Genomic DNA, 21930 nt, shown 5'->3' on the forward strand with positions numbered 1-21930 from the left:
ACTATGACACCATGACTTCTGGAGGTTATATGCTCCCAGGTTCTTTGTTGTGTTTTTTACCCCTTTACCTAATGCCCATAAGGCTTTAAACCTCTATGTTGAAAGTGAAGTGCCTATAATCAGCAAAATTTTGTTTGAAATGTAAATAATTTTGAAACTTTTTTCACATACAAAAAAATTATTTTCTAAGCTATTTATTGCTAAATGAGTGATGATAAAACTGTATAAAATATGTACTAAATATTGATAGAATTTGAACATAAGCTCAGATATTAAACTTTTGCTTTTTCTTTTTCAGTACCATTAGATTTCTGTATCTAACTGTATGACAAGTATCATTTTTTTTTCTTGACCATCAGTAATCCTACTTTAGTAACATTTTCTGACTCTTTAGAAAAGGATATCTAGTTTAGTGCTCTTTTGGGTCCGTTTCTTTTAAGGGAAGCATCGATATTGTATTTTAGAACTATTTCAACATGGCTGCAAGTAAAATGCTTCCCATTGAGTCAGAAATTCGAGAACAATTGTGATAGCTCATGTGAAATTTGCCTATTTACTGTTCCTGTTTGTATTCTTTCTTAAAAAAACTGTACTGGATAAATAGGAAGAAGTAAATCATATGCCATATTAGATTCTGTTGTTTTGTAACCTATGGTAGGCATTGTGATAAAGAAAATTAAAATTCTAATTTTAAGCCTGAGAATGTGGTCAGTATAGAAATGTGATTTTTCCTCAAAATAAGGGTTGGCAAACCTTTTTGATGAAGGGCCATATAGTAAATATTTTAGGCTCTGTGGGCTACATAGTGCTTCTATTCTAGTACATATTCTTTCTCTTTTTCTTATTTTTAATCAACCTGTATAAACCATTTTAGCTCTTAGTCCTTGTTTGCCAACTTCTACTTTAGAATAAAAATGATTGAAAAATTGGACATTATTCTTTTATATGTACTTCACTTATTAGCTACGCATATTATCACTAAGTAGAAAAAGACAACATCCAGTTAGACAAAGGATATTCCTGGGAAGGAAATTCAAGTTAATTTTATTTTACTTAACATTATGAGGGACTGGGCGCAGTGGCTCACGCCTGTAATCCCAGCACTTTGGGAGGCCGAGGTGGGTGGATCACGAGGTCAGGAGTTCCAGACCATCCTGGCCAACATGGTGAAACCCTGTCTCTACTGAAAATATAAAAAAAAATTAGCCAGGCATGGTGGCACGGGCCTGTAGTCCCAGCTACTCGGGAAGCTGAGGCAGGAGAATTGCATGAACCTGAGAGGCAGAGGTTGCAGTGAGCCAAGATCATGCCACTGCACTCCAGCTTGGGCGAGAGAGCGAGACTCCATCTCAAAACAAACAAACAGAAACCATTATGAGGCAATCAAATTTACATCCATTAAGCAGTGTTTTACTCATCTGTTTACAGTGAACTTTATACATTAGATCTTACAAGCAATTTACTATCCTTAATAACAAATTCATTATTTTTTGGATTTTTGGGTAGCTAATAGTTGCTGAATTAGAGACAGGAAAGTTGAGTATGAGGCATACTGTCTGTTAGCAAGAAGCAAGCAATAAAAAACTTCTTAACTGTAAATGAAGTCCTTTTCTACACATTACCTAATTAGTTTCTATTAAAAAATAAAATATAATTGCAATAATTATGCTCCATCAAATTCACTAACATTCTAGTCACATCTATTCAAAAACAAAACTAGGTATGTAAGAAGTTAATAGTTTTGAAAAGTTATCAATGAAATAAATTACTTTTTAAAACTGTTCTTAGGCTGGAGCTATTGGCCAGAAACTCCCTCCATTTTCTTATGCTTATACGGAACTGGAAGCTATTATGTATGCCCTTGGAGTGGGAGCGTCAATCAAGGATCCAAAAGATTTGAAATTTATTTATGAAGGAAGTTCTGATTTCTCCTGTTTGCCCACCTTCGGAGTTATCATAGGTCAGAAATCTATGATGGGTGGAGGATTAGCAGAAATTCCTGGACTTTCAATCAACTTTGCAAAGGTATGCCTAATAAAAAACCTTTATTTTGCTTTTCTATTTCTGTAAATATTATTCATTAATGTCATATCTTATATATATGTGTGTGTAGTGTGTGTATATATATTTATATAATTATTTATAGTGGTTAGTTTAGCATATCTTTTGATTTTTCTTTTTAAGAATAAAAGAGGGGAGAGTTAGTTCAAAATGCCAGCAAAAAGAAGAAAATAACAAGTATGTGTAGTCCCATAACCCTGGCATAATGTTATTCTCTCTCTGCCATTTACTTGATTCTTGACCAAGGGTAAATAACATCTCTAGGCTTCAGTTTCCTTATCTATAAAATGGATATGATAATCCTCACCTCATGACATTGGTGAAGAAGCAAGCCAGGGAGGAGTATTTAAAGCAAATAGCACATACTTGACTTGTTTTTGGAACAGTAATAGGGCCAGCATAGCTGTAGAGTGAGCAAGGGGGCAATGGTAGGAGAAGGTCATGGAGTAATTGTAAAGATTTCAGCATATACTTTGATGAACATGTGAAGCCATTTGTTGATCTGAGCTGAGTAGTGACATGATCTGGCTATGTTCACAGACTGGTACAAGCTTGTTGCTTTTGGAGACTAGGTTATAAGGGAGTCAAGCATGAAAGCAGAGAAACCACTTAAGAGTCTATTATAGTAATCCAAGTAAAAGTGCTGCATATGAGGGTTAGAAAAGAGGAGTCAAGGATGAAGATGTTTGTTCTGGATAATTGGGATATGTATATATATATAGAGAGAGAGATGGGTGCATATATATACATTGTATATAGTTATACATTGTATATAGTTATACATTACACATATCTATATGTAATGTATAATTATGTATAGTGTATTTAATATGTATAGTAATTACATATGGCATTATGTATAATTTATACATACACATTTATTTTAAGGTGGGGTTGATCAGGAGTTGGTTTTAAATATGTTTGAGGTGTCTGTTACACATTTAAGTGGAAATATAAGATGGACAGTTGAATATATGAGTCTAGAGTTCAGGGAGGGGTCTAACTGGGTCCTTAGCATTTACGTGATGTTTAAATACTGGAGATTAGATGAAGTCACCTAATGTGTGAGAGTAAGTAGAGAAGAGGCCTGAGTTTAGAGGCCCTGAAATGTTGAGAGGGTAAAGAGATACAGAGGAACTAGCAAAAAGAGACTGCACAGGAATGGTTGGTGAGGTATGAGGAGTATCATGAGAATAGGGTATTTGAGAAGCCAAATGAATGAAGTGTGTCAAGAAGGAGGAGGGAACAGTGGTGAGAAGTTCTTTGAGACAGGGTATATTTTATTTCTTGGAGTAAGATTCAGGTTATGAGCCTGGTAATAATTTTTGAATCATGGGGCTATGAGCTGGTATCTGTAACTTTGACTGATTGGAGAACTTATTTACTGGTGGATCAGTTAGCCCATTGCTGCTCTGAGTTGATGGCCACTTATTTTATTAGAGTGTTTCATGAAGTTGGGAGGAAGACAAGAAATATGTGCTGGGCAGTTTGCTGTTTCATTCACACTCCCATGGTTAGTTACTATATACTCTGAACAATGTAAATGCAAAAAATTAAAACAAATGTTTCAAAATTCCCCCTAACAATTGGAAATCGTAAATGGTGTTCATGCATCTTGGAACTTGAATCCTAGTCTTCTTAACCTTGACTTTTTCAAGCCGTATGACACAGTAAAGCTGACCTTCATTTGTCTTCTCATCAACCACCTCCCCTTCTTCTTCTTCCTTTTTTTTTTTTTTTAAAATCCTTTTGGGTTCTGAGGAAGACTGGTAAACTGGCCCTCTGCAGTGAAAGTGGGATCATTTGAGTGTATGCTTCAAGTTTTGGTTTTCCTGTCCTGTTGTTTTCCTATATACCTTGGTGCATTCTTTGTTTGATACATTGAGGTTAAGTGGCTATTAAGTTACACAGTGTCCTTAGTATCTACTCTTTGTAGATAATTTACAAAGTATTATAAGAAAGGGATATTCACATTGACAGTGCTTTCATTTTGAACATGGTTGTAAGGTTTTTCTTTGTGTTTTAGTTGTGTCGTTTGTATTTGGTATATGTGACCTGAAATTACTAGCACTGGCGCATTTGTTCATTCTTATTCAATGAATATTTATTGGATGCCCAATATGTTCCAGGCACTGTTATAAGTTCTGGGAATACAGCCTAGTTTATTGTCTCTTGGCAAATAATATGTAATTAACAGTCAACAAGGCTTTATGAACGCCAAGAAAGAACACAAATATATCTTCTCTGCTCCAGAAGAGCTGACTGTCTTGAGATTGGGGGATTGATTATTTTTCAATCACATGATTAAGAAGAAGCCAAACAGAGATAGATAACTTGGAGAGAAATGTGAGCCTGTGGATGGTAAAATGTCACTTGCGAGTAACAGTATCCATAGGCAGAACCTGTGGAGCAAGAAAGTTTGCTAATAAAATTTTGTTTACCCTAACATAGGTTCTTCATGGAGAGCAGTACTTAGAGTTATATAAACCACTTCCCAGAGCAGGTGAGTTATTGATATACTAATTCCATAATACCATACTTTTATTTCCAGATTAACCTTTTAAACAACATCAGTGTGTTAAACTGGTATAGAGTGACCTAATGAAACATATCACAAATTGTTATGCACATGTGAGCCATTAGAGTAGACTGATGTTAACTAGTATCTGTTTTGGTCACCTTAAGCTTTGTCCTTTAATAGTCTTAAAAATTTATTTCATAATTTATCTCTGTTGATGTATGTGTTATTAACAACTGAAAGGAACGTTCGTGTATGTGCTCTAGACTTAGTGATTGCATATAATCTGTTATGGTTCTTATGATTATTGTTCTTTTCTCAGGTATTTATCTTTATACTGATTTTCATAAAGCAAACAATGTTAAAAGATACAGAATTTCTTGTAATTCATTTTTTTCTTTTTTTTTGGAGAAAATAAAAACAAGTCTTTAATAATCATTTTTACTTTTCTCAAAAATATCTTACTTGTTTAGTAAATCTCTTTTAATTTTTTTCACTATAATTGGATATATTTATTTCTCTACTTTGATGTTTGAATGTTGTCTAATTATATACTGGTCATATAAGGTGGTAGAATACAAAAAGGAATGTTTTGTTAATATTTGTCATTTCATGTTATACAATGTAGAGGTCGGCAAGTAGCTAGAATCCTACTTGAATATTTTTCTTAAACCTTTTTATTTTTCTAAAAAATGTATGAGATTTTTATTGCTTGAAGCTGAATAGCTTTATTTCAGTGTAAGTATTATAGCATAAGGTTTCAAAACAGCTCTTTTTATGTGAAACAGTACACTTTGTGGTGATTGTGCATTGATCAAATATCTGCTGGATACCCAGTATTTGCAAGGCACAGTATTAGGTAGTAGGTAATTTTCTAACCTGTCTGTATATCAAAATCACCCGAGTTATTACATTATATTATCTGTTAATTTAAGTAAAATGTAGATTCTCAATCCCAACCTTGGAAATTGTGTGTGTGTGTGTGTGTGTGTGTGTGTGTGTGTGTGTATGTGTGCATGTATGTATGTGGTGGGGTGGTGGTGTTGGTGACAGTGGCTAGGAAGCTCCTTACATGTTTCATATGTACCCAGCCCTATGGGTCCACTTGGAAACCATTGTTATAAGGGAAGTAGAAATGTGCAAGATAGGTTTCTGCCGTTAGGGATTTTAAAATACGAAAAGAGAGATTAGATGTATACTCCAGAGTGATGATAACTGAACAGTGATGTGAATAGGAAGGTGTAGAGAATAACTTTTTCATTTTTTTTTACCTCCTTAGCCTCAAGTTATATTTCTCATGAATTATTTTTTCTCAGCCTGTGCATTTTCTTTAAGCAGTTTTAAAATTTACTGTGTAGTAAATGTGAATGTTCAAAATATGAGATATTTGTGGTTTGGAACCTTTTAAACTGCAGAAAACCAAGGTCACGACTACTGTTTATAATCTACTACTGTTTATAAAACACACCAATTGATGAGACACAGAGTGTCAAGCATCAGGAGACTGATAACAACATCTCTTAATGGCTCATTTGTTGGCTATAGTGGTAGTGTCATAGGCTGACTTACCCTAATCATGTTAAAAATAACCACTAGAAGGAGTGAAGGAACGCAGCAGTACTTTCTTTTCTGTCTGTTTTTTTTTTTTGGTTTTATATAAACTTTATTATTTTAAAAAAGAATTTTAACTTTTATTTTAGATTCAGGAGGTACCTGTGCAGATTTATTACGTGGGTGTATTGTGTGATGCTAAACTTTGGGATATGAATGATCCCATCACTCAGGTAGTGAGCATAGTACCCAATAGGTAGTTTTTCAGTTCTTGCTCTCCCTACTCTAGTAGTCCCCATTGTCTGTTGTTCCCATCTTTATGTCCACGTGTACCCAGAGTTCAGCTCCCACTTGTAAGTGAAAACACACAGTATTTGGTTTTTTGTTCCTGCATTAATTCACTTAGGATAATGACGTCCAACTGTATCCATGTTGCTGCGGAGCACATGATTTTGTTCTTTTTCATGGCTGCGTAGTATTCCATGGTATATATGTACCACATTTTCTTTATCCATTTCACCATTGATGGGCACCTAGATTGATTCCATGTCTTTGCTATTGTGAATAGTGCTGCAGTGAGCATATGAGTGCATATGTCTTTTTGGTGGAATGATTTCTTTTCCTTTGGGTATATATCCAGTAATGAGATTGCTGGGTCAAATGGTAGTTCTGTTTTAAGTTCTTTGAGAAATCTCCAGACTGCTTTTCATGGTAGCTGTACTAATTTACATTCCCTCCAACAGTGTATAAATGTTCTGTTTTATCTGCAGCCTCACCAGCATCTGTTATTTTTTTGACTTTTTAGTAATAGCCATTCTGACTGATGTGACATGGTATCTCATTGTGGTTTTGATTTGCATTTCTCTGATGATTAGTGTTATGAAGCATTTTTTTTATGTTTGTTGGCCACTTGTGTGTCTTCTTTTGAGAAGTGTCTGTTATGTCCTTTGCCCATTTCTTAATGGGATTATTTGTTTTTTGCTTGTTGAACTACGTTCCTCATAGATTCTAGACATTAGACCTCTATTGGATACATAGTGTGAGAATATTTTCTCCCATTCTTTAGGTTGTCTGTTTACTCTGTTCATAGTTTAATTAGGTCCTACTTGTTAATCTTTGTTTTGATCGTAATTGCTTTTGAGGACTTAGCCATAAATTATTTCCTAAGGCTGATGTCCAGGATGGTATTTCCTATGTTTTATTCTAGAATTTTAATACTTTGAGGTCTTACATCTAAATATTTAATCCATCTTGAGTTAATTTTTGTATATGATGAAAGGTGGGAGTCTAGTTTCATTTTTCTGCATATGGCTAGCCAGTTATCTCAGCACCGTTTATTGAATAGGGAGTCCTTTCCCCATTCCCTATATTTGTCAACTTTGTCAAAGATCAGATGGTTGTAGGTGTGTGGGTTTACTTCTGGGTTCTCTGTTCTTTTCCATTGGTCTTTTCTTGTACCAGTGCCATGCTGTTTTGGTTACTGTAGTTTTATAGTATAGTTTCAAGTCAGTTAATATGATACTTCCAGCTTTGTTTTTTTTTTTTACTTGGGATTGCTTTGACTATTCTGGCTCTTTCTGGTACCATATGAGTTTTAGAATAGTTTTTTCTAATTCTGTAAAAAATGACATTGGTGGTTTCATAGGAACAGCATTGAATCTGCAGATTGCTTTGAGTAGTACGACCATTTTAACAATATTGATTCTTCCAACCCATGAGTATGGAATGTTTTTTCCATTTGTTTGTGTTATCTGATTTCTTTCAGCAGTGTTTTATAGTTCTCCTTGTAGAGACCTTACACCACCTTGATTAGATGTATTCCTAGATATTTTATTTTTTTGTGCTATTGTAAATGAGATTGCATTCTTAATTTGGCTCTCAGCTTGAATATTGTTGGTGTATGGAAATGCTACTCTTTTTTGTTCATTGATTTTGTATCCTGAAACTTTTACTTGACTCATTATCAGTTCTAGGAGCCTTTTGGTAGATGGAGTCTTTAGTGTTCTCTAGGTATAGAATGATATCATTGGTGAAGAGAGATAATTTGACTTCTTTTCCTGTTTGGATGTCTTAACATTTTTTTTTTTTTATTGCCAGATTGCTCTGGGTAGGAGTTGCAGTATTGTGTTGAATAGGAGTAGAAATTTAAGAAAGAATGGGGTAAACAGTATTGGTTGTATGCTCAACAAATGTTTGTTGAATAACAGGGTCAAAAGACACCAAGAGGAGTCCTTGACATTGCCAATGGTTATTTAAAAAAATCTAATGTATCAAATATTGATGTTTGAAATTTAGCGATTCCGGTATTCTGACTGCTTTTACTGTTGAATTATTTTTTCTAGTGAGTTCAGGAACATTATTATTATTTTTTATTATACTTTAAGTTCTGGGGTACATGTGCACAATGTGCAGTTTTGTTACATAGGTATACACGTGCCATGGTGGTTTGCTGCACACATCAACCCGTCACCTATATTAGGTATTTCTCCTAATGTTATCCCTCCCCTTGTCCTGCACACCTTGACAGGCCCCGGTGTGTGATGTTCCCCTCCCTGTGTCCATGTGTTCTCGTTGTTCAACTCCCACTTATGAGTGAGAACGTGCGTTGTTTGATTTTCTGATCTTGTGATAGTTTGCTGAGAATGATGGTTTCCAGCTTCATCCATGTCCCTGCAAAGGACATGAACTCATCCTTTTTTATGGCTGCATAGTATTCCATGGTGTATATGTGCCACATTTTCTTTATCCAGTCTATTATTGATGGACATTTGGGTTGGTTCCAAGCCTTTGCTATTGTGAATAGTGCCACAATAAATATACGTGTGCATGTGTCTTTGTAGTAGAATGATTTATAATCCTTTGGGTACATACCCAGTAATGGGATTGCTGGGTCAAATGGTATTTCTAGTTCTAGATCCTTGAGGAATCGCCACACTGTCTTCCACAGTGGTTGAACTAATTTACACTCCCACCAACAGTGTAAAAGCGTTCTTATTTCTCCACATCCTCTGCAGCATCTGTTGTTCAGGAACACTATTTCAAACCATAGTTTTTTAGTTTTGCTGAGCTTACAGTGGAAATGCTATTAAATTCTTTCACATCTTATTATAGTAATCTTTGGTTTTTAAGACACTGTATTTCTTTTACTTTTCTTTCTAGGAAAATTAAAATGTGAAGCAGTTGTTGCTGATGTCCTAGATAAAGGATCCGGTGTAGTGATTATTATGGATGGTAATTTATTTACAATTCTTATAATAATATTGTTAGATTGATAGGCTTTGTGTATGACATAATACTTCACCATAGAAGTTGATTAATAAGTTAGTATTTGTCTTCCAATTTGTTAGAAAACAAGATAAGCATTTTTAAACTCTTTAAGAAAAATAAAGAAGGAGGGGGAGAAGCATTTATTTCTGGGCTTAGGCTGGGAAGGGTGAGGCATTTCATTGGATTTAAGACAACATAACCAAAGCACAAAGGTGATAAATGTGGCTTGTATTGATAATGTAGAGGAGAATTAAGCTTGCTGGAGTATGTTTTTGGCAGGAAGGAATATTAGATAGTCCTCACTTGACAATTAGGCTGTGTTTTAGGTATTCTTTAATGTGTTAGCTATTTGGAACTTGGAACATATTTGAACACTAAATTATTCTTATAAGTGGTAGTTAGGCTCCTAGACTTGTGCTTTTATAAGTTTCTAGACTTGAACTTATGATGTGGTTTAAACACCACAGCCACATTTTATTTGCAGTGGGAAAAAAGATTGTAGTAGTTTAATAAATGTTGAAATACTAGTAATTAAACATAAGGTGAAGATATGATGCTTAAAATTTGTAAATTTTACGCTGGGTGCGGTGGCTCACGCCTGTAATCCTAGCACTTTGGGAGGCTGAGGCGGGCGGATCATGAGGTCAGGAGATCGAGATCATCCTGGCTAACACGGTGAAACCCCGTCTCTACTTAAAATACAAAAAAAAAAGCCGGGCATGGTGGCGGGCGCCTGTAGTCCCGGCTACTTGGGAGGCTGAGGCAGGAGAATGGCGTGAACCCTGGAGGCAGAGCATGCAGTGAGCTGAGATTGTGCCACTGCACTCCAGCCTGGGTGACTGAGCAAGACTCTGTACCAAAAAAAAAAAAAAATTTGTACATTTTATAAATTAAATTTTAAAAATTAAATTTAAATTTAAGTTTAAATTTGTAAGTTTTAAAGTTTAAGAACAAAAAAGTAGATATTTGTTGTCAGTGATTTTGGAACCCAAGAACAGTATAAAGTTTGACATTATTTAATATTTGGAATATAAGTTTATCATTTTTCTTGTAAATACATAGGAGGTTATACTATATATGCTGTTTTGGAACTTGCTTTATTTTTGCTTAATAATCAATTGAGAACATTTTTGATGCTCTTAAATATTATGTATGTTCTTTATCTTCCTTCTCCTCCTTTTCCTCTTCCTTTCTCTTCTCTTTTTAGGTTTTCATACTTGTCATTCCAGATGTTGGCCAACACTTGGCTACTATTCTCCCAGTTCTCTTTTAGTCTTCTCACCATTGAACCAAATGTAACATACCAAAAAAAAAAAGTCCTGCCGAAACCTTTCTTTAATTTTTACTGTTCTCTCTTGATCTGCTCCATTTATTGAAATACAACTTGGTAATGGTCCTTAGTATATTAGAATTTGTAGACAAAGTGAAATTGGTTATTCAGTTGCCTATGTGATAAAAATAAAAATCTTATTTGAACTACATTGGCATGCCTTTCCTTATTTTTGTTTATAATTAGATTTTTCTTTAGTATGCAATTTAAAATCATATTTCTAGTTTTGCAGAGCTAGATATGAAACAGATAATAATCTGTCCCTAGTAAGTTAGTAAATAGAGGGACAGCTGTCTTATTCATTACTTGCTCACTTATTTGCTAACTTGCTCACTCATATCATTTATTCACTGATTTATTAATTAATAAACACTTATTAGGTGCCTTTTTTTCTGTACAGGAACTATTCTAGTTGATGGGAAAATAAGAGTGAGCAGAACAGCCATGATCCTGCCCTCATGTGGCTTATACCTTCATTCCCACTTATTTCCTCTCCATGCTCTTCTTGACTGCTTTGGCAGAATGTTTGAAAGTTCGAGTGTGGTTACCTGTACTTTCTAGTGGGATTATTTGAAATGTTTAAGGTGGAAATAATTGGGATCTGAATAGCAGTTGGAGAGCCTTAAGAAAAGTGAAAGAACTGCTATTTCATAGTTAAGAAAGGATTTTTGAAGCTCCTCTTCTCTCTGCCTTTCAGATTCTGGTATGAATGGATTAAAATGAATGCTTTGTAATCCAAACTTGGACACCTTTACATGTTAGAACTCTTTCAGTAATTGGATTTTGTTTTTGAAACCTTGACAGGAATTGTTGAACCTATCTTGGTTAACTAGTTATGCCTTTTGGTGGTAACTTCTTTTATTTTTTCTTTTATTTACTTTTCAGTCTATTCTTATTCTGAGAAGGAACTTATATGCCACAATCAGTTCTCTCTCTTTCTTGTTGGCTCTGGAGGCTTTGGTGGAAAACGGACATCAGACAAAGTCAAGGTAAGCCATGACTTTGTAAGCAAAATATATGTGTAGTTAAGGATTCTTACCTATACAATTGAGACTTGAACAGCATGAGTTTGAACTGCATGAGCCCACTTATAGGCAAATTTTCTTATACATCTGCCACCCCTGGGACACCAAGACCAGTCCCTCTTCTTCCTCCTCCTCTTCCTCCTCCTCAGCCTACCCAATGTGAGGATGATGAGGATGAAGACCTTTATGATGATCTACTTCCACTTACTGAATAGTAAATATTCTTTCATTTTTTATGTTTTTCATGACATTTTATTTTTCCTAGTTTCTTCTTCCTCTTCTTCTTTTTCTCAGAGACAAGTGAATGTTTATTTTTGTGCCTTTCTTCCTATGTGTATGTCAAGTCTTTTTCAAAACAAGGCCCCAGGAAACTCCAGATTCCATTATGTCCCCAGGCTTGGTCGACTGCTGCAGGAGTCTTAGGGAGCCTTGTACAAATGCTCGATTTGCTCATTTACCAACATTAAACCCTTGGATAGACGATGCAGCAAAGCAGGACTCCTTCCTCCATGGAATGTGCTGATTTCAGATGAGGTGGCAGCCAGTGTAGAAAACGTTTCCTAGCTCATTTTATTGTAATAATGCAGAATATAATAACACAAAATATGTATCAATTGATGGTTTATGTTATTGGTAAGGGTTTTGGTTAACAGTAGGCTATCAGTTGTTAAGATTTTAGGGAGTCAAAAGTTATACGTGAATTTTTGACTGCATAGTCAGTGCTCCCAAGCTGCACATTGTTTAAGGGTCAACTGTATATTGATCTTATATTACCATATATGTAATCTTATAGCATAGAGACTTGGTAATACGTACTTTGAAATTGTGTGTGTTCCTTGAATTTGAAGTGCTGTTTATGTTTATATATTCTCTGTACAACATATTTTATATATAGAAAAGCCTTGCTGAGTTAAGTATAATGTATCTGAGATAATTATGGGAATATTTGTTATTTTCTTGTACAATCTTTGCAGACCCCAAAAGTTTTTAGAAAAATTGAACACAAGTGATCCTTGTATAGATTAAAATCTTCATTTATTAAAGGACCTAAGTATTTCTCTTATGCAAGATAATTCTGGTTATTCTTTTGTTCTCAAATTCTAGAAACATATTTTTCCTAAAAATATTTAATTTGGATTTCACGTTAATCTGGCTTTACCTTTAAGTTACTTGTGGTAATAAGATTATACTGTAGTCAATATTCTTCTGTAGTAAATAAAGTATTATTTAAAGCAGTATTGGGAAAAGACTTCTGGAATGGTGACGTAAGAAGCTCCTTGGACTTTCTTGTCAGTGAAACAACCATGACTTGTAAAAAATTATTTTAAAACACAGCTATTTAATGTCTCTGGAAATTGTTCTAAGGGTATAGAGCAAATGAAGAAACATTTATTCAAGAAAATCTATTATATTTTGGTAAGAACAGTGAGACTGTGTGGCATTTGAGTCACAACCCCTCCCTTTGTTCTTCCTCTCCTGGCTGAGCATGACAGAAACTGTACCCCAGGCGTTTGCAGCCAAGAACGTAGGAGCCCTCTGCCATGCTGTCTTCCCAGGATGGGCAGACTATTAACTTTTCTTATCCTTCCCACTAGCTCTGAATTGCAGATGCTCTATTCCAGGTAAAAGTGACTGACTTGTGAGCCTCTATTTCTCCATCCAGCCCCCACTTACAGAGTGGAGACTTTACCCTACCTGTGGCAGGTTGAGAATACTGGGGCCCTGATTGCACTTGCCCTAGCTTTCCCGTAGCGTGGAGGTTCCGTGGTTGGAGAGTCAGCAGAGAAGAACAGAAGCTACTACACCTGCCCTGCTTCCTTCTTGTAAAGCAAGTGTATCATTTGGAAAGAAGTATGTCACTACTCCTGCAGAAATTCTGCCTAGAGGGAGAGGAAGGCTGTAATAACACAAAGTTCTGACCCTCTTCACAAGGAAACAGAGTCTTTTTGTAACTAAGTATTTGGAAGTTCAAGCATAGGGATGCCCTCAAAAACAAGGTGTGACTGTAGTGATAAGCAATTAAGAGAAGGCTGGTAGTTCCGTAACAGCAGGGAGCTAAAGTGTAGCCCAGCTAGACATTTACTAGAAAGAACCAGGGAAAGAGATAGCTAAGAAAAGCCCTCCTGGGATTGTAACAAACCTCAAAGTCTGGCCTCAACGACTACCCTTGCAAAGAGGCTTGAATTTAATTGGATCAGATTGTTGAACAATTTATACCCCAGGACACTGTTGAAAAAAATAGAACAGTAATCTAGCAATTAGTGGAACCTTACAACTGGGTATGATACCAAAAGAGGCAGACAGTTTAACAGAGAGACCAACGAGAGACAGTCAAAGAGAGCCTGCTAAAACCAGTGTCATCGTAGGGTGACTGCACCTACTCAAGGTACACTCTCTGAGGAGCAATATCAGAGGCTGTACACTATTGGGAGAATAGACTCACATGTAAGAGTCTAGCTAAGTTACTAAATAAATAAACAATAACAACAAGCCCTGGAAGGGGTGGGGGATTAGTGTCTAGAGTTGTTATAATCTATTATCTGAAATGCCCAGTTAGCAACAAAAAATTATAAGATATGGAAGAAACAGGAGAGTGTGATGCATAGACGGAAGAAACAAACAGGCAACAGAAACTGCCTTTGAGAGAACTTAGTAGACAGACTTCACAGCAGCTGTTATTTATGTTCAAAGAACTAAAGGAAACCATGCTTAAATGTTACTAAATATATATAAATTATTACAAAGACTCAAATAGGAAATTTGGAGCTGAAAGTATAATAACTGAGATGAAAAATTTACTGTTGAAGGGCCAAATGTAGATTTGACAAAAGAAAGAATCAAAAAAGCTTAAAGATAGATTGATAGTGATTATACAAACTAAAGAACAGAGAGAACCACAGTGAAGAAAAGGAAAAAGAATGAAGAGCCTTAGAGAAAGATGGAGTATCACTAAGCACACTAACATTCATATAATGGGTGTATCAGAGACAGAGAAAGGAACAGAAAAAAATTTTGAGGAAATAATGGCTTCTGATGAAAAACATTATACATCCAAGAAGCTCAGTCAACTCCAAATAGATTATATATCTAAAGAAATCCATATTCTCTTCATTGTAGTAAAAGTGTTGAAAGCCAGAAACGAAAAGGTTGAAAATAATCAGAGAAAAAATGACTCATTACTTACAAAGGAACCCTAATAAGATTAAGAGCTGACCTCTGACTTCTCATCAGAAACAATGGAAGTCAGAAGATAGTGGGCTAATGTATTCAGAGTGCTGAAAGGAAAAAAAAAAAATACCACAAGGTCAACTAAGAATTTTATAACCAGCAAAATGAGCTTTCTAAAATAAATATAAAATAAAGACATTCCTGGACAACAAAAACTGAGAGAATTTGTTGTTAGCAGTCTTGCCTTATAAGAAATCCTAAATAAAGTTCTTCAGATTGATAGCAAGTGACCACATACTGTGTTTATATGAAATACCCAGGTTAGGCAAATCTGTAGAGTCAGAAAGTAGGTTAGATGTTGCCAAGGGCTGGAGGAGAAAGGAGACAAGGGAGAGTGACTGCTGATGGCTATAGGGTTTTCTTTTGGGGACATGAAAATGTGCCTAAGTTGATTCTGGTGATGGTTGGACAACTCTATGAATATACTAAAAATGACTGGATTTTACATTTTAAAGAGGTGAATTATATGTGTATTGTGTCAGTAAAGCTGTTTGAAAAATTAGTATTGATCAATACTATATGAAAACAATGTCCTGGGCCCGCATTTAAAAAAAAGTTGTCCTCACTTATTGCTTGGATGTGAAAAAATTACCTTGACAGGTATTAAATGGGTATTATTTACGTGAAGTTGTATCTATTCACAGGTAGCAAATTATGAGTTATTAAGAACCCTAAGGCAAGTTGTGCAATGCAGAAACATGCAGTGGCATTCTCTGAATGAAAAGCTTGGAAATGTTATATTCACTCTTAAAACATCCAAGCTTTTAGTGAAGATATTATTTTAGAAAGGGTAAAATACAAGTCTGAGGCTATATTAGATGAAGTAAATATAACATGCTATTTGTTTTTCCTTTTTAACTGTATGTTCTTTTTCTTTGTTCTTTTTTCTTTTTGAGATGGAATCTCACTGTATCGCCCAGCCTGGAGTGCAGTGGTGCAATCTCAGCTCACTGCAGCCTCTGCCTCCCAGACTCAGGTGATCCTCCTGCCTCAGCCTCCCAAGTAGCTGGGATTACAGGTGCCCGCCACCACACCTGGCTAATTTTTGTATTTTCAGTAGAGACGGGGTTTCACCATGTTGGCCAGGCTGGTCTCGAAATCCTGACCTCAGGTGTCCCATCCACCTCGTGCTCCCTGTATGTTCTTTTTAATATTGGGCAATAATGAATTACTGTAGACCAGAAAGTAATCTAAACTAGATACCATTCTCTAAGCACTTATCACAAGTATCACTTGTTGCTTTGAGAAAAAAATCAGAGATGATGTCAAGTCATGGTGAAGCCCTGTGCCATAAACGAGTTTCTAGTCTGTTAACAGTAAAACTACCATCGCGGCACTGTCCATCTTAAATGCCCTTTGTATACATGGCATACAATGGATTTTGTGGAATAAAAGGTACTCAGAATTTTTTAATTTTTAATTTTTATTTGTTTATTTTTAATCAGGCAGCCCTCAGAATCAAGACAGGTTCAGAGAACTCTTGGTACTCAGAAATTTTAAAAGACTGCTCGGGACCTATAGATTGAAGTCAGGTCCTCCAAAACCTAGTAGAATGCATTGAAAATGAATTTGTAAATAAAACCTGCAAAATACACTGGATGCAACTGAAACAAAGGAGTGTAATTGATGCAATGATTTTTGAAAAACGGCAGCCTGACTTTTGTTTGCTTTTAGAAGCAGCAACTTCCCTCATGATCTTTTTTTATGTTTTGGGTGTGGCGGGGTTTGTGAGGATAAGTTTGGGAATATATCTAAGTGTGGCATTTTAGTAATGAAAAATCACTAATTTCTTAACTCTCTGAAAGGATAAAAGCTTACTTTGTTGTGGAAAATTTACTTAAATTATTCTATAATAAAATTTTGCCTCTATTATAAATGATTGAGAAGTAGATATTAGCTACTTGAATTTTTTATGTTTACTTTGGTTTAAATCAACCCTAAACTGGCACTCAGATACTTACTTTGTAGATGTTGCAGACTTTTCATCAAAAAGGAATTTTAAGTGTTGGCATTAAGGGATCATAATAATTCAAATATTTTTGGTAACCAACTTTAAAATGTATTATTTTGTTAAGATGGCAAATTAAAATATGCAAGGATTTAAAAGACCAGTTTTAAAGACTGAATCAATTTAGATGTGAATTATATGTCTAATTCTTGTAGTTGTTTTCATCTTTTACATAGGGAGTAACTGTCCTTAACTTTTTCTCCATTGTGGCCTGGAGGATTTATCTGATTACATAATTCTTTACATTTAGAAAGGTCATTTCAGGCAAATCATAGAGTAGATGAAGCTAGGAGTTATGAAATTTTAAATATCATTATTTCCTGAGCATGATTTTTTTTAAACCCTTTTATCCAATTTGCAGAGTTTATTGTATTGAAACATGATTGTGTATCAAATGTGAGTTTGGTTAAAGAGAATAATGATAATTTGTATTTAAGATTTAACATGTAATGTCTTAATTTTAGGTAGCTGTAGCCATACCTAATAGACCTCCTGATGCTGTACTTACAGATACCACCTCTCTTAATCAGGTAAGATTGTATTTTTGAAAAATGATAAATCCACCTGGTTGATGACACTTTTTAATTTATAGCTCTGATACCTTATAACATTATGCATCTAATGCATAATGAATAATATGTTATTATTCAACATAATAAACATACAGACATGTTTCCTGTGATTGCACGTTATTTTTTTAATTTTTAGTTATTAATGTTTTCCCACTAGATACCAAAATAAAATATAAAATGGTTTTTTATTAGTCAATTTAAAAAGCATTGCATGTTGTTGGTAATGGAGTGCTTTCTTTGGAGAGGCCGCCCACTTTAAGAGTGAAGAATTTCATGAAAGCCTCAGAGTAAGTGCAGGATAAAAATTAGGTAAAAGGCAAGTAAGTATTAGTCATCCTTTCCTCTTTGGGAAAGAAAGCAATGCCACACTGCTTGGAAACAGATTATTTTATACCAACTGTAAAGGATAGGCAAATAAAGCATCTTAGAAGCAGTAGGTGATTTAATCTTTTTTGTTTGACATAAAGAATTTGTTTTCTGGTGAAGGAGATAAAATGTCCTGTCAGTTCACAAATTCTGTGACCATAGAAAAATTTGTTTAAGAAACAAAAGGCAACCATAAAAGTGAGAAAAGCAAGTTTATTTTTGAGAGACCTTAAGATTCTTCTCTAAGATGGCTAGTAGACTAACCATGCAGATATAGCATAAAATCCTTAAACCTCTGGAGTAACGCAGTGTGTGTGCATGTAATAACAGCAAATTGTTCAGAAAGGTCACTTTAAAAAAATTTTTGGTTGTATTTTAGAAGAGAACAACACAGTGGGGCCTACTGGAGGGTAGAGGATAGGAGAAGGGAGAGGATCAGGAAAAATAACTAATGGGTAGTAGGTTTAATACCTGGGTGATTAAATAATATGCACAACAAACCCCCATGACACACAATTATCTATGTAACAATCCTGCACATGTACTCCTGGACTTAAAAGTTAAAAAATTTTTTTTGGTATGTTTGATATGAAAACTTCTGCAGGACTTATGTTTCCTAGCAAATAGAATTGTAATCTCATAAGCCAGAGAGAATTAAAGTTGGTACATATGTATTTTTTTTCTGTACCATATAATCAGGTGATGGAGGGAACATTGTTTTATTCTTGCTTTTAAATATTTTTTCCATCCATTACTGTTTCTTATGAATTTCTTAAGAATGTGCTCATATTTATGTTTACATAAGGCTTAATTGAGAAACTAATTCTGTTAGAGTACTAAAAAACAGAAAAGGCTCATGGTTTCATGGTTCAGAAAACCCAAGAAATGCCTCTTTATTATACTGAAATAAAAAATATATCTGCTACAAATAAAAGCTGAATAGTTTCCAAGGTTTGAATTTCTACGCACAGTAAGTAGTGGGGTTTTCTTTCTTTTGTTTTTTTTTCAGATGACTAAAACTTTTTGTTAGTTTTAAGGTAGGTTTTAATATTTTGCTGCGTGACAAAAGACGGTTTTTAAATCAACAATATTTTTGTGTGAATAATGGGCACTCATCATTTGGCAGAGGTTCTTGGCCATTTTGTATTGTATGATAATTAGAGAATATAATGGAGGCTATATACCAGTTCCCTAAAAAACATTTTGCATAAAACTTTGCATAAATTTCAGGGAATTTGTGGGACATTTGAAATTGGATGCATGCTATAAGAAATACAAGTCAATTAGAAGAAGTGTCATCTATTGTCAAGGAAGGGAAGGAACACTTGGATACTCAAGATATAGATGTCTGAGATAACTAGGGCACCTATTCCAAGCAATGAATGTTTAAATACAAGGCTTTGATTTGTAGTATAGGTGTAACAGACAGTCAGAGAAGGGATACTTATTAGGGAATGACATGTAGAAGTGAGAGGTGACAGCGTGCTGGCAGTCCTCACAGCCCTCGCTCGCTCTCGGCGCCTCCTCTGCCTGGGCTCCCACTTTGGCGGCACTTGAGGAGCCCATCAGCCCACCGCTGCACTGTGGGAGCCCCTTTCTGGGCTGGCCAAGGCCAGAGCCGGCTCCCTCAGCTTGCAGGGTGGTGTGGAGGGAGAGGCGCTAGCGGGAACCGGGGCTGCGCGCGGCGCTCGCAGGCCAGCTTGAGTTCTGGGTGGGCGTGGGCTTGGCGGGCCCGGCACTCAGAGCAGCTGGCCGGCCCTGCTGGCCCCGGGCAATGAGGGGCTTAGCACCCAGGCCAGCGGCTGCGGAGGGTGTACTGGGTCCCGCAGCAGTGCCAGCCCACCGGTGCTGTGCTCGATTTCTCGCTGGACCTTAGCTGCCTTCCCGCAGGGCAGGGCTCGGGACCTGCAGCCCGCCATGCCTGAGCCTCCCACCCCCTCCATGGGCTCCTGTGCAGCTCGAGCCTCCCTGAGGAGTGCCACCCCCTGCTCCACGGCGCCCAGTCCCATCGACCACCCAAGGGCTGAGGAGTGCGAGCGTACCGCGCGGGACTGGCAGGCAGCTCCACCTGCAGCCCTGGTGTGGGATCCACTGGGTGAAGCCAGCTGGGCTCCTGAGTCTGGTGGGGACATGGAGAACCTTTATGTCAGGGATTGTAAATACACCAATGGGCACTCTGTATCTAGCTCAAGGTTTGTAAACACACCAGTCAGCACCCTGTGTCTAGCTCAGGGTTTGTGAATGCACCAGTGGACACTCTGTATCTAGCTGCTCTGGTGGGGCCTTGGACAACCTTTATGTCTAGCTCAGGGATTGTAAATGCACCAATCGGCACTCTGTATCTAGCTCAAGGTTTGTAAACAAACCAATCAGCACCCTGTGTCTAGCTCAGGGTTTGTGAATGCACCAATTGATACTCTGTATTTAGCTACTCTGGTGGGGCCTTGGAGAACCTTTGTGTTGATACTCTGTATCTAGCTAATCTGATGGGGACGTGGAGAACCTTTATGTCTAGCTCAGGGATTGTAAACGCACCAATCAGCGCCCTGTCAAAACAGACCACTCAGCTCTACCAATCAGCAGGACGTGGGTGGGGCCAGATAAGAGAATAAAAGCAGGCTGCCCAAGCCAGCAGTGGCAACCCGCTCCGGTCCCCTTCCACACTGTGGAAGCTTTGTTCTTTCACTCTTTGCAATAAATCTTGCTACTGCTCACTCTTTGGGTCCACACTGCTTTTATGAGCTGAAGCCAGCGAGACCATGAGCCCACCGGGAGGAACGAACAACTCCAGACGTGCTGCCTTAAGAGCTGTAACACTCACCGCGAAGGTCTGCAGCTTCACTCCTGAGCCAGCGAGACCACGAACCCACCAGAAGGAAGAAACTCCAAACATCAGAAGGAACAAACTCCAGACGTGCCACCTTAAGAGCTGTAACACTCACTGTGAGGGTCCGCGGCTTCATTCTTGAAGTCAGTGAGACCAAGAACCCACCAATTCCGGACACAGAAGGGTTCGATAGTAAGAATGGGACTTAGTGGAGATGGTATGTGGGTGTTTTCTCTCCGGATATGTAGGGCTTGCAGTGTGTTGAGAAGTAATGATGGAGTGTAAGAGAGGAGAAGAGCATGACGTGTGTATAAGGGGTAAGAATTAGAGCATTCACATTGGAGACTAGTGTAGGATGATTGTGCATGGGCAGATCTTTAAGAGATATGGAAATGAGGAAAAATTATGCCATTATACATAAACTTTATGCTAGGTATTTATATTAACTAAGTAACTTTTCAATCATTAAGAAAACTGGCAATATATATTTTTAACTATACCAGTATCACTTCTGGAATGTCTGTTTATAATGTCTTCAGGAGAGTTTCTTCATCTTGAAACTGGTATGACAGGCCTGCACAGTGGCTCACACCTTAAATCCCAGCACTTTGGGAGGCTGAGGCAGGAGAGTCACTTGAGCTCAGGAGTTTGAGACCAGCCTGGGGCAAGAACTTGTCTCCACTAAAAGTAATAATAATAATAAAAAAATTAGCCGAGCATGGTGGCATACGCCTATTGTCCCAGCTACTCAGGAGGCTGAGGTGGAGGATCACTTGAGCCTGGTAAATCGAGGCTGCAGTGAGCTGTGATTACACCACTGCACTCCAGTCTAGGTAACAGAGCAAGACCCTGTCTCAAAACAAAACAAAACAAAACAAACGAGTATGACAATACAAGTGTACTTTGTAGTTTTTCATAATTATTAATAGACAGACAATTCCACTGCAATAATCTAGACAGACCAAACAGCAAGTAAATATCAGATGTCAGGCTTTGTATTTGAGGAAAATGAGAACAAATATCCATAGTTTCCCCAGATACATATCTTATACTATACATATCCTATTAAGTAAAGTTAATATTTGGCATATCAGTTCTAGTATCCAGTAAAATATAATTCTTTATTACAGTTACTGTCATCTTGAACTGAAAACAGACATAGGCTCAAAAACATGTC

At 36.7% G+C, this 21930-nt stretch overlaps 1 protein-coding gene across 14 annotated transcripts in view, besides 1 other annotated feature; it reads left to right on the plus strand.

Annotated features, from left to right (window-relative positions):
* The window catches only part of HSD17B4 (hydroxysteroid 17-beta dehydrogenase 4), an 89836-nt gene that overhangs the window by 45032 nt on the left and 22874 nt on the right, over window positions 1–21930 (plus strand). For 13 of the 14 annotated variants that reach the window (NR_164654.1, NR_164653.1, NM_001374503.1 and 10 more), the window contains 5 exons: window positions 1789–2025; window positions 4513–4564; window positions 9290–9361; window positions 11613–11716; window positions 17453–17518. Coding sequence is in view for 12 of the 14 variants with exons in the window: in NM_001374503.1 (NP_001361432.1) it covers window positions 1789–2025; window positions 4513–4564; window positions 9290–9361; window positions 11613–11716; window positions 17453–17518 (531 nt within the window). In the remaining 2 variants the exon portion in view is untranslated. The remainder of the gene's footprint in view (window positions 1–1788; window positions 2026–4512; window positions 4565–9289; window positions 9362–11612; window positions 11717–17452; window positions 17519–21930) is intronic. The other variant, NM_001374498.1, reaches the window with a different exon arrangement.
* Window positions 17726–18020: a silencer, noted in NCBI's record as "tiled region #15152; HepG2 Repressive non-DNase unmatched - State 15:Elon". NCBI's record gives its function as "represses a minimal TATA promoter and a strong SV40 promoter by Sharpr-MPRA in HepG2 cells {active_cell/tissue: HepG2}" and the evidence as "EXISTENCE:reporter gene assay evidence [ECO:0000049][PMID:27701403]".

The sequence above is a fragment of the Homo sapiens genome, chromosome 5 (genome assembly GCF_000001405.40).
Source record: "Homo sapiens chromosome 5, GRCh38.p14 Primary Assembly".
Classification (NCBI taxonomy): Eukaryota; Metazoa; Chordata; class Mammalia; order Primates; family Hominidae; genus Homo; species Homo sapiens.